Below are 13981 nucleotides of genomic sequence, written 5' to 3'. Positions count from 1 at the left end.
GAAAACTGGATGGTAGGCAGAGTTTAAATAAATGAAATATGATATGAGAATAAAAAAATGTATAGCTTCAGAAACAGTACAGAGGTGAATAAACACTACAGTAATTCAAATGGGCAACATTTCTGATATTGGTTATCTACTAGGAGGCCAAAGAAAAGACACAAAAATGAAAGAATCTAATATGATGAAAAGTAAATGTGAAAAGAGAAGTCTACCTTATGGATAATTGGTGATCTTTAAAAAGAAACTAATCTAAATAGTGCAGAAAGAGTATCAAAGGCAAAGCAGGGGGAAAAAAACCATTTTCTGTGTTGAAAGTTTAAATTTTCAGGCTAAAAGTGGGCCAATGAAGCATTAAAAACATAATAAAACCTGATAGAGTATTTGAATTTCAAAAATGAACATAAATATCAATTTAAAAAGTCACACAAATATAAATGGGGATAAACATGAATGAAACATACTCTGTACAAATAAAAAACAAAACAATGATAGTTACTTCAGACTCCACAGCACTAAACCTCAGAAGAAAACGAAGCAATATTGTCAGAATTTTAACAGAAAAAATTTTAACTCTGCCTATGTGCTTCTTTATGTTACTTTCTTGGGACTTGGATCATAGTAGGCAGTGAATAAACATTTGTTGAATGAATGAAAAAAAGGAATAATAAAAATGTGAGTGGAGCACATCTTTTCAAATCACCAGGAAACAGTTTAGTGTACTGATTGTGGACACCCTGAATGTTAAACAAGAGGAATAGTTTTTTCTCGTCAATTTTTAAGTACTAGTAGTATACCTGGATTCCAAATGTGTTTGCTGCTAACTGGTATTAGTATGCTTAGCCTTTTTCTTCCACGAGAACATATTATTTTTATGGCTTCAGGGTTGTAATAATGAACAGGTTCTTACTTACCTATATAATATAGCAGCATTTATTCATTCATTGAAAATCTAGGAAAAATTTTTGATAATCCATTGACAAGTACTATCAGTGTGCCATACAAAACTTGTCCTCAATATTGTTTTTTGATAATCTCTCCTGCTACCACCCAATTCAACACCGCAATCGCTCCCCTGGGCTGGGAAATATTCAAAGGGATTTTTCTGCTTCCATTCTACTCTCTTTCTCTCTCTCTACCCAATTGCGTCACTCAGCAGTCTCAGTTCCTTTATAAAACCTAGATTGAATCATATTACTCCATGATTAAACCATTCAAGAACTTCCCATTATATTTGGACAACAACACAAACAATGAGCCTGTACAGGATTACTTCTTTGCCCAACTCTCCGCACTTAACTCTTACCACTGACATGACAACCCTTACCTACTTCAGGATATTTATATTAGCTCTTCTCTCTGCCTGAGATACTTCCAGATCTGTGGTCACTTGTCACTTCCCTTACTACCATTTATACTAATATAAAACAACATATACTCTCATCACTTTCAATCTTTTATCCTATTGATTTTTCATAACACTCGTTATTTTTAAGAAATTATATTGTTTACTTTTTTATTACCTTTCTTCTCCCAAGTACATAAGCTCCTTAAAAGCAGAGACCCTTCCTTTCTAGTTGTGTTCCCAGAACACAGGATGATCCCAGACACACAGTTGGGCATTCTGTATTGACTGAATGAGCTAACTCAATAAATGAGTGGTTAAACAAAGGAGACTATTTGATTAGTCTTTCACTTTCAAAACAATTATTCAAAAGGTATGGAACTATTATTCAAAACTATACTTTTATTTTATGTTTGCTTTTATTTACTTCCTTTTCCTTAATTTGGAGTGATGGTGGCGGAGGGCAGGGGAGGTCGAATTAAAGGGATGTTTTGCTACTTGAGTTCTGCCAGAGTGCCTCAGAAACCTGAAGGAGTAACTTGGATACTAGAGGGCAGTGGGGAAAGCTCAAGGAGACACAGCACTACCACATTTAATATAGTCATCATGACTTCTTGTTAATATCCACAGATATCTGCACTATAAAGCAGGTGTGCTACTAGCAATTTTGATAATGAAAACTGACTCTTTCAATAAGATTACTTCCATTTTGCTATGAGCGTCCAAAGAGTGGTTCCAGGAAAGAGAAAGAAAAAGACAGGGTATGAGGAGGTAGAAGGAAGGAAAGGTAGTGAAGGAAGGCTAGGAAGGAAGAAAGAAAGGGAGGAAGGAAAGAAGAAAAAAGAAGGAAGGAAGGAAGGAAGGAACGAAGGGAGGGAAGGAAAGAAGGAAGGAAGGAAAAAGGAAGGAAGGCAGGCAGGCAGGAAGGAAGGAAGGAAAAAAAGAAAGAGAAAGAAAGGGAAGAGAAAGAAAGAAAAAAGAGAAAGAAAGAGAAAGAAAAGAAAGAAGAAAGAGAAAGAAAGAAGAAAGAAAAAAGAAAGAAAGGAAGGAAGGAAAAAAGAAAAGGAAAAGAAAAGAAGAAAAGAAAGAAAAGAAAATTAAAAAAAGAAAATAAAAGAAGAGTGATCTATTTCAACAGCTGGACCAAATTAGAAAACCAAATGAAATTCTCTGGTTTGGTTCTGGACCCAAAAAACTACAGTTGTGGTAGAACACCACATTGTTTTCAGCTAGCAAAATGAAGGAGAGTCAACTCCACAGTTACTGGGTTGTGTGTCTTGGTGAGCTAGGCAGAGCCCTTAGGAAATGGTCCTTAGGAACTATGAAGTGTCATTACTGGTGAAATGGAAATTTAGAGTTAATGAAGTTTAAAAACAGTCACCTCAAAGATTTCTTTTTGCAAACTGGGCCATGTCTTGTTTGAGGTTTGCTTATGTTTACACTAGGTATAATGTCTGAAAAGTCTTCTTTGGTCATTGGACTGTGTGTTTCTTTTAAAATAGTGTTGTTGTTTTTAAGTGAGGTAATGATTTCCAAGTAATCAGATTATGTTCTTTAAAATAAGTATAGGTATATGGATGAGGAGAGAGGTACTTGACAAAATAGATCATATTTATCATACTATATAAAAATGTAGTGGCATTCATAGAATATATAATTTTATTCATAATTTTTCTTTTCTCAAATCAGAAAGTACAATTTCATCTAAGAAAATTACCATAACTACCAGTGTAAAAATTAAATGAAAAGTTCTCAAGGTTTCATCAAAAATGCCCAAATAAATTTAACAGGTAAATATTTTACATTATTTTTGTTTGGAGTAAGAATACATTAATAAGATGAGAGAATTAAATCATAATTTTAAAAAAGGGCACATAAAATAACAAATCCCATATCTGCATCAGGAATTATTTATTGATAGAGTTGTCCAAAATTATAATACTAAATAAAAGCTAAAGGAAATTATTAGCTCAAGGAGATAATTCAATGATTTAATTAAAATGTATTTTGCTTCATTGTTTGGTGTGTATTGCAATCCAAGTGTACATTGTTATATCACTGCAGATAGAAATTATGAACTTTTGTATTACATGTTTGCTGATTTATATTCCCTGAATAGTATTGTTTCCACTTTATTATATTATACCATGTAATTTTAATAATATATATTTTATTGCTTGAATTAACTATATAGTCACTTATCTGTGTTATTCATCCTCTATTTTAGAATTTCTTTTGTTTCTTTTATTATATAGTGTTGAAACATATATTGTCCTGGTTTTAAATCACTTAATATTTTATTTATATAGTGGGATTGCTGGATCAAAGCATATAAACATTTTGTTACACACGGCTAATTAAAAATATTTCTTAAATTAGCATTATAATAAAATAAAGTACACTTATTTGATCTTGTTATTTTTATAGGTTCAAAATGATACCTCATTTTAATGGCATTTTATATGCTTGCTATTATTTTTGTGGTTATTTTTTACATAATTACACTTCATTAACTTTCTAAAAATGTTAAAGATTGTAAAGATAAAAGAGGTTACATGACCGCCCAGAAAAAGAAAGAAAAAGTACCAAGCTAGTGAAAGAACCAATACTACTGCTTGCCCTCAAGTCCTATATTCTTATCATTTATATGCAACTTTAGTGTTCATAATACATGTTAAATTGGCAAAGACAGGCTGTTAAATCTGTGGGATCCAGAACATGAATATTTTTGAAACAAAAATTAGTTGAGAAAGAGGAGTTTTAAGAGACTACTGTGATATAAAAGAATCAAACTCAAATGCTTGCATGATATGGCTTGGAAAATGTGGGGAAATTCTGGTGTCTCCCAACTTCTTCAAAGACATTGTTTCATCTCTGCACTCCCCCATTTTGGTGTAATTCTTACAGAATATTCAAGAGGCACTTAATAGAATTCAGAATCCTTTGGTGTGTATAAAAGTATGAACAATGACTAGATTAAACCAGGATCTTCATTTGTGGATTGACTCATTTAACAAATATTTGAATTCCTACCCTGTGCAGAATGTTGTGTTAGATACTAAAAGTACCATAGTGACAACACCATAAATAACAGGCATGGGCCCATTCTAATGAGGGATACATGCACACACATACATATACGTAAGAAAAGTAATCAGAAAAGTAAATAAAAGGTAAATCGTGATAGGGGCTATGACAGAAACAAAAGAGTAACTGAAACTGGTAGGCAGCATACTGAGTGCAAAGTCCAAGGGCTTATGTGAACTATGTATGGGGGAAGAGTCTGAGTTGAGTTTGGGGCGGGGCAGGGTGGGGTGGAAAAGGCTGGTGGAAGAACCACCACTCAAGGGCAAAGGGAAAACATGAGAGAAAATATTATCTATTTCAAGGCTGGTAGAACTGAAAAGTCACAGAATCTTGGAGGCTAAACTCCTGTGCCTGAGGCCTGACTTTCCTCATCTTTAATATAGACTAATTGTATTTCTCTGGGTTTTAATAAGGATCAAGTAAAAACAATATGCATGCAAGAATGTCCTATGTCATGAATCACTTGGCACTTTAGAGTCACAGTCTATAAAAGAAAAGTAATATCGTGGACATCTTTCGCCACCTCATTCAGAAAGACTTTTGATTTGGTGGGAGAGGGAGACATTGGAATTTTATTCATGTTTGAAACTCATCTCTTTCCCAGTGTTATTTTTTTCCTTTCTACACTTTAAAATATTCTTTAAAATAAAGTAATATTTGGAATTGAGAAAGGGAGGGATGGGATTCAAGTTAAGCCACATATTAACTATATTTAAGAATACATATTTTACTTCCTTTTTAAACTTTTTCTAATAAACGTTCAAAATATATACTCTAACCATATAGTTTAGGCCACAGTGGATGTCAGAAACAATTATATATAAAGGATTATAAAGTATGAGGTAGTGAATCTAAAAATCATGAGACACCCCCTGCTTTTGTACTTTCTTGTTCTGTTCAGTCCTTGTTTGTGTGGAGAGCATATGTACTGAACACATATATATTCATAGAACAATGGCAGGTGCCACAAGTGATCACAGGAATGATGAAGGGAAATAGGATTGACAAGAAGGCAGAGAAAGGAGGGAGATAAGATAAATATGAATCCTAATATTGTTCTTGACCAAAGTGATATTAGAAATTTGGGAAAGTGTTTTCAATGGTTGTGGTCCATGATCCAGCACAATTGCAGTGTGTTTTTCTACTCAGGTACTTGTCTTTTTCCTTTTTCCAAAGTGCCAAAATAAGATTATAATTTATTTTGAGATTCCACTCTGAGTCATGATCACAGAACCAAATCCAGACTTGCCAGCACTCACACCCTCCCTCTTCTGTTTGCCCAGTCTAGTGTGCAGCGTCACTTTTGGGAAAAACAATCCACATACCCACAAGCAAAATTCCCAGTGTATTTTTTAGGTTAATCCAAAGTCTATTCCCAGAAAGGATGTTAACCAGACCCAGAATAAGTTCACTATAATTTTATTTCCCCTGGCTTCCAAAAGAATACTAAATTAACAATATGGAGATGTAACAGCTGAATTACTTTATTAAAGGTCACATCTGAACTCACCTTCCCAACTGGATATGAAAAACATAAAAACAGAAAGTCGAATTCTCTAATGTTAGAGTATATGTTAGGAGATCCCATGCAGTGTGGTTATAATTTATTTTTTAAGTTATCAAACATATTAGAAGTCATAGATCTAAATAACAGAGTTTCTTCTAATCAAATGTTTTTACAGATTTTATTTAAGTGAACTTGTAATTTCACAAAATGTTTTGGAAACCGTCCTAAGTAGAGTCATGGCTTCTCAAAGGTGGCCACATTTTAATTTTCAGAACTTGTGAATATTTTACATTATATGGCAATAAGGGATTTAGGTAGCTGAAAAAATTAAGGGTTCTATTCATCTGACCTTAAGATAAGGAGATTGTCCTGGATCATCTGAGTGGACCTAATGTAATCAGAGCAGCTTCGAACATAGAAGAAGGAGACAGAAGAGGCAATGTCAGAGTGATATGATGCAAGGAAGACTCAAGTGGCCACTGCTGTCTCTGAATATGGTGAGTTTAGGAGCCAAGGTATTGGTGGCTTTTAGAATCTGGAAAAGGCAACAAAATGGATTCTCTCTTAGCTACTCCAGAAGTAATGCAGTCCTGCTGACACTTTGATTTTAACCCAGTGAAACTTATTTTGGGCTTCTGAACTACAGAATTATAAGATAATAAATTTGTGTTGTTTTAAGCCACTACATTTTTGGTAATTTATTGTAGGAGCAATATAAACTAACACAGGAACTCACCTGGGTCCGTCGTCTCCTGCCCTCACTAAGCTCCCTGCACTCTGTCCTTGGTTCTGTTACTGCAGAGTCAACCACCAAAGCAGGGTGTCTTAGTCCGTTTTTACACTGCTATGAAGAACTGCCCAAGATTGGGTAATTTATAAAGGAAAGAGGTTTAATTGCCTCATGGTTCAGCATGGCTGGGGAGACCTCAGGCAACTTACAATCATGGCAGAAGGTGAAGGGGAAGTAAGGTACCTTCTTCACAAGACAGCAGGAAGGAGAACTGCTGAGCAAACGGGGAAGAATCCCTTATAAAACCATCAGATTGCATGAGAACTCACTGACTGTGATGAGGACAGCAAGGGGAAAACCGCCCCCATGATCCAAGTACCTCTACCTGGTCTCTCCCTTGACACATAGGGATCATGGAAATTATAACTCAAAATGATTTGGGTGGGGACACAAAACCATCACAGGGGTCAGATGAGAGTCAGAGCACCACATTGATGGGTTCATGATTGATGTAAAAGATGAGGGTGCAAGCTCATGAGCTACAATCTGCAGATGCAGAAGTCAATCAGTAATGACACAAGAGGAACAAAAGAACTATCACACAGTTCCCTGTAGCCACTTCTTATCCTAGCCCTCTATCACCAGGAGGATAAGCTAAACTTTCCCACTCACAGATTACATCTCATAGATCATGGTGCGATTGTTAAAATCCAAAAGATTAAAGTGACTTTTTAAATTAAAAGGACTACTTAAATAGAAATCAACAAAATACCAATTATAAAAATTCAAAATGCCAATTTCCTACCATCCAGGTTTGAAAGAAGAGAGAACAAATAAAACATGAAAAATAAATATGCTAATTTTCTTTGTAGGCCTGAATATAGTTTACTAATTTTCAACCAACATATAATGAATAATTATTGGGTTGATGCAAAAGTAATTGTGGTTTTTGTCATTGAAACGACAAAAAAACCTCCATTGAAATGACAAAAAATGCAATTACTTTTGCACCAACCCAATACTCTGTGGGTAGCTAGCTTTCAGTCTTTTCTGAGGCCATGTCTGAACAACAGAAATATTGTTGAAGACCCTGAATCTTTTGACATCTTCTTTTCTTACATTTTTATTATATGTGGACAGAACAGGTAAGCAAGAGTCAGCCCCCAATGAATTCATCTCTCCATCCCCTGTGAGAATTTTCTGTTTAACTCTGAATTTCATCCATTGTAGTCATACATTTTGTTTTTATTTCAAAGAAAACAATAATAAGGCAAAGACACTGTCTCCAAAAGACAACTGAAAATGCACAGAGGTTAGAGGGGGGCTCTTCAATTGGTGTAGAAAACCATAAGAAATCAGGGATGTGGAATCTGAGACCCTCAAGAGAAGATTGTTTCAATAGTGCGAAGAAGGAAGTTCTTTGTTACTTATTGGCATTAGGCCTTCAAATTTGGGGTAACAGAATCTTCTACTACACAGAAAGATAGAAATAGAAGGATGAAGATAACTTACTTACACTACTTGATTATTCTAGCCTCTTTGAATGCTTGTCAAAAATGTAGATTCCTTGGTCATGCGTATGTAATCATGATCTCCAAGGAAAATCTCCTAGGTATCTATATTTTTTAGAGTTATTTGGATGATTTTGATCAACAACCAACTTTGGAAATCATTGACCTATTTCAAAACCTGAATTATGGCCAACTCTAACTAGAGAAACCAAAAAGTATAGCTTTAAAGAAACGGAAATATTTCAACCAACTAATTGCTATCAAAATTAGTAAGTATCGTGTATCACCCATTTTTGTTCTTGCAAATTTTGGAAGGACTTTTATTGACATCAAGGTAATTCCCTTTTTGTGGAAAAGAAGAAATTCAGCCTGGGTTGGAATATAATAGGTTTGGGTGAGTATCCAAAAATGTTTATTCTGCAGAAGAGAAGCTTAGAAGCATACTAGAGTTTTCAATATTGAAATAATTATCATGAAAATTTCTTTGTGGCTTATGAATAAGTCAACTACAACTTGCTTTTTAAAACCCCAGAGCTATTTTCTGAAATTCCCTTCTGAAGCTTGGGAGAAACCATATAACCCTGGAAAATGTGTATCATTTAAAAGTTTATTAACTACTTAATCCTAAAGTTCACCTATTTCCTTGCAAATATAACCAAGGAAGGATATTTGGAATGACAGGTACATATTAAATTTCAGAATCAAAACTTTCAACACTAAAATGAGGAGTACTTACACCATTTTCTGTTAGAGGTCTATTTGTTTTTAGTGGAATCTATTTTCTAATGAGTCAACATTATGTCACTTTCAAAACATGCCACAGGACGTTGGTACTAAAAAACACACAGTAGGATTATTTAAGTCTTTAAAACCATATTTTTATGAGGATATGCCTATTGGACTCTTAGGAAAGTATTCATTTGTTAATAGGTTAAGTTAAAAATATTTTTAATCGCCTGAGCGCCGTGGCTCACGCCTGTAATCCCAGCACTTTGGGAGCCCAAGATGAGTGGATCGTTTGAGGTCAGGAATTAGAGACCAGCCTGACCAACATAGTGAAACTCTATCTCTTCTAAAAATATAAAAAATTATCTGGGCGTGGTGGTGGGTGCCTGTAATCCCAACTACTCGGGAGGCTGAGGCAGGAGAATCGCTTGAAACCTGGGAGGCAGAGGTTATGGTGAGCCGAGATCGCGCCACTGCACTCCAGCCCAGGCAACAAGAGCAAAACTCCGCCTCAAAAAAAAAAACAAAAAAAAAAAATTTTTTTTTAATCTTACATGTTACTTACACAGTTAAACCTTTGATGAATTTAGCTCCTTGAAAAATGGTGTGTTCTGAGCCATTATAAAGTTAATTCAAAGAAAAAGGAATTTACTTCTTTGAATGCCACTGCAGACCTTATTCATGAATTCTGTCACAGAGAATGACCCATTTACTTGGGCCTTTAAAACTCTCCCTCTGCCTGGAATTGTTTGGACTTTTTCCCCTGGCTAACATCAGCTCATTCTTTACTCTAAATTTTCATCTTGGTCTTCACCTCCTTTTTAGAAACCTTCTCCAATAACACGGGGTTGTGCCTAAGGCTGCTGCTCTAAGATCTCCACGTATTTTATTCACTTTCCTTGTGTTAGGCCTTTCTTGTGTTGCTATAAAGAAAAAATTGAGAATGGGTAATTCATAAATAAAAGAGGTTTAATTGGTTCATGGTTCTGTAGGTCATACAGGAATCATGGTGCTGGCATTGGTTCCATTTCTGGGAAGGCCTCAGGGAGCTTTTACTTACGGTGGAAGGCGAAGGGGGAACAGCAGTTCACATGGCCAGAGTAGCAGCCAGAGAGCAAGTGGTGGGGAGGTGCCACACATTTTGCAAACAACTAGATCTCCTGAGAATTCACTCACTGTCTCCAGGACAGCACCAAGACGAGGGTTCCTCCCTCATGACCCAAACACCTCCCACCAGACCCCACCTTTAATTCTGGGGATTACAATTCAATATGAGATTTTGAGAAGACATCCAAACTGCATTACTTCATGTTATCATAACTGTATGTTTATTTGCATCTTTTCCAACTAGAGTTTGTGCTTCTTGAGGTCAGGGGTTGTTTTCTAGTGTACCTAAGTCTTCATGGATATTCATGTATGAACTGATGAATAAATGCTTGTTTTTTTCAAGGAGCAAATCAAAAATTCTAAGCTGTTCTACACTGATTTTATAGGTTTGTATTGATTTTAATTCGAGTTGTGCCATTACTTATTTACTAATTCAGTGCATAGGATCTTTAACATTCTTAATTAGGCTCTTAGTGGGAAAGAAAGAGAGATCATCTTATAGCTACTTTAAAAAGGTTTTGATAATTTTTCTGATGTCGCCTTTACTTTCTGGATCTCATATCTTCACCAAATAGCTGATTTTGGAATAAAATAATAAATAGAAAAATTGGTTCTAATGAACTGATTAATAGAGGAAAATAAAATATGTATTGAAAACAGTAAAAATTTTACCATAAAAAATTATACATGTCAAAAGACACTAACTTTAAAATAGTACAAAAAAGTAAGGGAAATCCTGAATAACAGAAAAGAAAGTCAAATTTATTTAATGAAAAAACAGATTTAATAAAAATTACCAAATACACACCAAAAAACACAGTAGTACTATGTATTGACTCACAAAACGGAAAAGCAGTGGTCCGTGACTACTCAAGATGGCTTGCCAATTAAAGGAAAAAAAAAAACAAACATACACATGTGAACACACACACACACACACACACACACGCAAACACACATGCCAAAACAAAAAAGCCAATATGTTTTAAAAGTACAATCAATCAACAGGCCCCTGTGTGTGATGTTCCCCTCCCTGAATCCATGTGTCAGAGGTTGAGGGGCGAGGGGAGGGAGAACATTAGGACAAATACCTAATGCATGTGGGGCTTAAAACCTAGATGATGGGTTGATAGGTTAGGTGCAGCAAACCACCATGGCACATGTATATCTGTGTAACAGATCCGCACATTCTGCATATTTATCCCAGAACTTAAAGTAAAATTAAAAAAAAAAACAATCAATCTACAGCAAATACAAAACTCAGAAGGACATACACAAAGACAGAGAACTTATAAGGGGATATTTTTGTTTTTATCTTGTTCACTGTGTTGGGGCTTAGAAAACAATATCCCAAAATATGATGTCTTGACATGCTGAACTAAATAACAGCCTCAAGGTCTCTCTGACCTCTCCCCCACAAGCACAGGGAGGGACTCTCTGGAATTTCCTTATCTGACTAAGGAACCACCTTTCAAAAATAAATGTTAATATGTTAAGACACTTGCCACCCCTGGAAATCTCACCAAATAACTAGGAAAGATTAACCACCAAGGAAGAGAAAAAACTAAAATCAGGGGTCACCAGGCCCAGACTGACTTTATCTGTTCTTCAGAGGGCATTACTGAAAGATTACCTGGGAGACTATCCACATACTACGACAACCTTGGTTCACAGTGCAGTTATGCTCCTGATCTTCCTGTAACTTGTCAGCCCCATTAAGTTTCTTAAGAGATTCATTTCCAAGAAAATGTCTGCCTACTGGGTCCATTAATTCTCCCTAAAAATAATTCAGTACTTCTCAAAATTGCCACATTTCTCTCATCTCTCCTTTACTTATGAAGAGGGGTATATAAGCAACTGGACCTCATTGGGTTATTGGGTAATCACTTTCCTGTGATTTTGCTCTATGCACATTAACAAGTTTGTACATCTTTCTCTCCTATTAATCTGCCTATTGTTAATTCACTTCCAGCAAACTTCAGAGGGTGGAGTAGAAGCTTTGCCTATTTTTTCCTACACTTGATTACATTGCAATTGCGTATTCTAAATTCTATGTATCTTTAATGTCACGTCTCTAGTCCATTATCTTCATTTCTTGCCTGGACTAATACTGTTGTGTCCCATTTTGACTTCCTGCTTCCTCTTGTGACTCTACTGCTTATAATCACCAGCATCCTAAAACACTTAAAAATCCAAAATCCATAGCTATAGTATGCCCTGAATGACTTCCATGAACCCATTATCATTACATGTCTAATAACAATTTTCATGCCGTTCAACCACCAAGCTTTTACCATCTGGCCCCCATTCAAAATCCTGAAACCTCTACATTGAACATCTTTTCTTCTACTTTCTCACCTTTCCCTATCCAGTTTAAATATTGGTTTATCCTAGCGGGAGGCCTTCTCTGCTTTCTCAACCTTTTATTCTCCCTCACTGCCTGCTCATTACTTTATTTATAACATTTATGATAAGTTGTTATTTTTATTTGGTTTTATAACTTTTTAAGTGTAAATATTAGTATATCAAGCATAATATTTATAATTATTATAAATATTTATCAACAATTTATTAATAATATTTATGAATATTAGTATGTTATTAAATGTAATTTATGTAAACATAATTTGTATGTTTCAGCTTACATAAAATAAATCACTATATGCTTACAATGCTTTAAGTGCTTAATGTATCAACTCACTTAATACTCAACACCCACATGATAAAGGTAATTAATTCTATTTTATGAAAGTGGAAAATGAGGTTTAAAGAGTTTATGTACGTGGACAGTGATAGCTGCAGAGCAGACAAGGAAAGGCACAGAAGCAAAGATTCTGATCTCGGGGAATTTGTTGCTCCTATACAATGCAACACCGTCCTTGTTATTCTCTTTCATACATGCTGAAAATGATGGATTTCTATAACAGAAATAATAACTAACATTTATTGAATGCTTACCTTATGCAAAGGATTATTCAAGGATTTCACATCCAGTAACTCATTTAAACTCACAAAGAAAGCTTTATGAGGTAGGAACATGACCATTCTTGTTTCAGTGATAAACAAACTAAGGCTAAGTGGATTGCCTAAGATCACACAGTACATATGTTGTAAAGAAGTCAACTGCTAGAATGTATTCACTAATTACATATACACTTGCTGATTACTAGCGGACAGAAGAAGGCAGAATGATGTCATCACTTTTCTATTTGTAGTTGGTATAGTACAATTTGTATGTACTTTTTATTTTCATATTTGAAATAGTATATTACACATCTTCCTATTTAATTTGAATTAAATCCCAGGCTATGTGTAATTATTATGTATATGATACTCAAAACATATCACACCTTAACATCTGGCAGACATGCTTCACATACGGTGGTGTTTATCTGCTATGAGAGCTTCAAAGCACACGTCAGAGAAACACCTGGGTTTGAAGTCTGAAAGAAGACTGTAACTGTTACGGGCATATTTCTTGTGCTTTACTTGCTTTTATGTGAAATAAAGAGAAGTTTAATTTTTTCTTGCTTATCCTGTACAACAAAATTGAAACCTTTATCAGCATCAGCCATCATAGGACTATATCTTCCAGGTTTGGCTGGCTCATTGATTAAAATAAAATAATCTGAACCTGAAGAAAAGATTAAAAATATATCATTTTAAATTATTTAACACTTAAAGTGGGATCCATATTCCATTATGATTCTGGCATAGTATGGAGTTTTCAAAAGTTAATTAATTTATTATTCAGGTGCAATTAAAAGCTAGATGTTCACAAACACACAGATGAATGCAAAGACAATCTACCCTTGGATGTCAAAACACAATATAATAAAGTTGTCGACTTCTTTAAGATAACCTATAAAATCAGTGTGACTGCATTCAAATACGATTATATTGTTTTTGCTATAACAAAATTTATATGGAAATTCATCTAAAAATATAGACAAATGAAGAATCACAAG

The sequence above is a fragment of the Homo sapiens genome, chromosome 12 (genome assembly GCF_000001405.40).
Source record: "Homo sapiens chromosome 12, GRCh38.p14 Primary Assembly".
In the NCBI taxonomy this organism is placed as follows: domain Eukaryota; kingdom Metazoa; phylum Chordata; class Mammalia; order Primates; family Hominidae; genus Homo; species Homo sapiens.
This window is presented reverse-complemented; position numbering follows the sequence as displayed.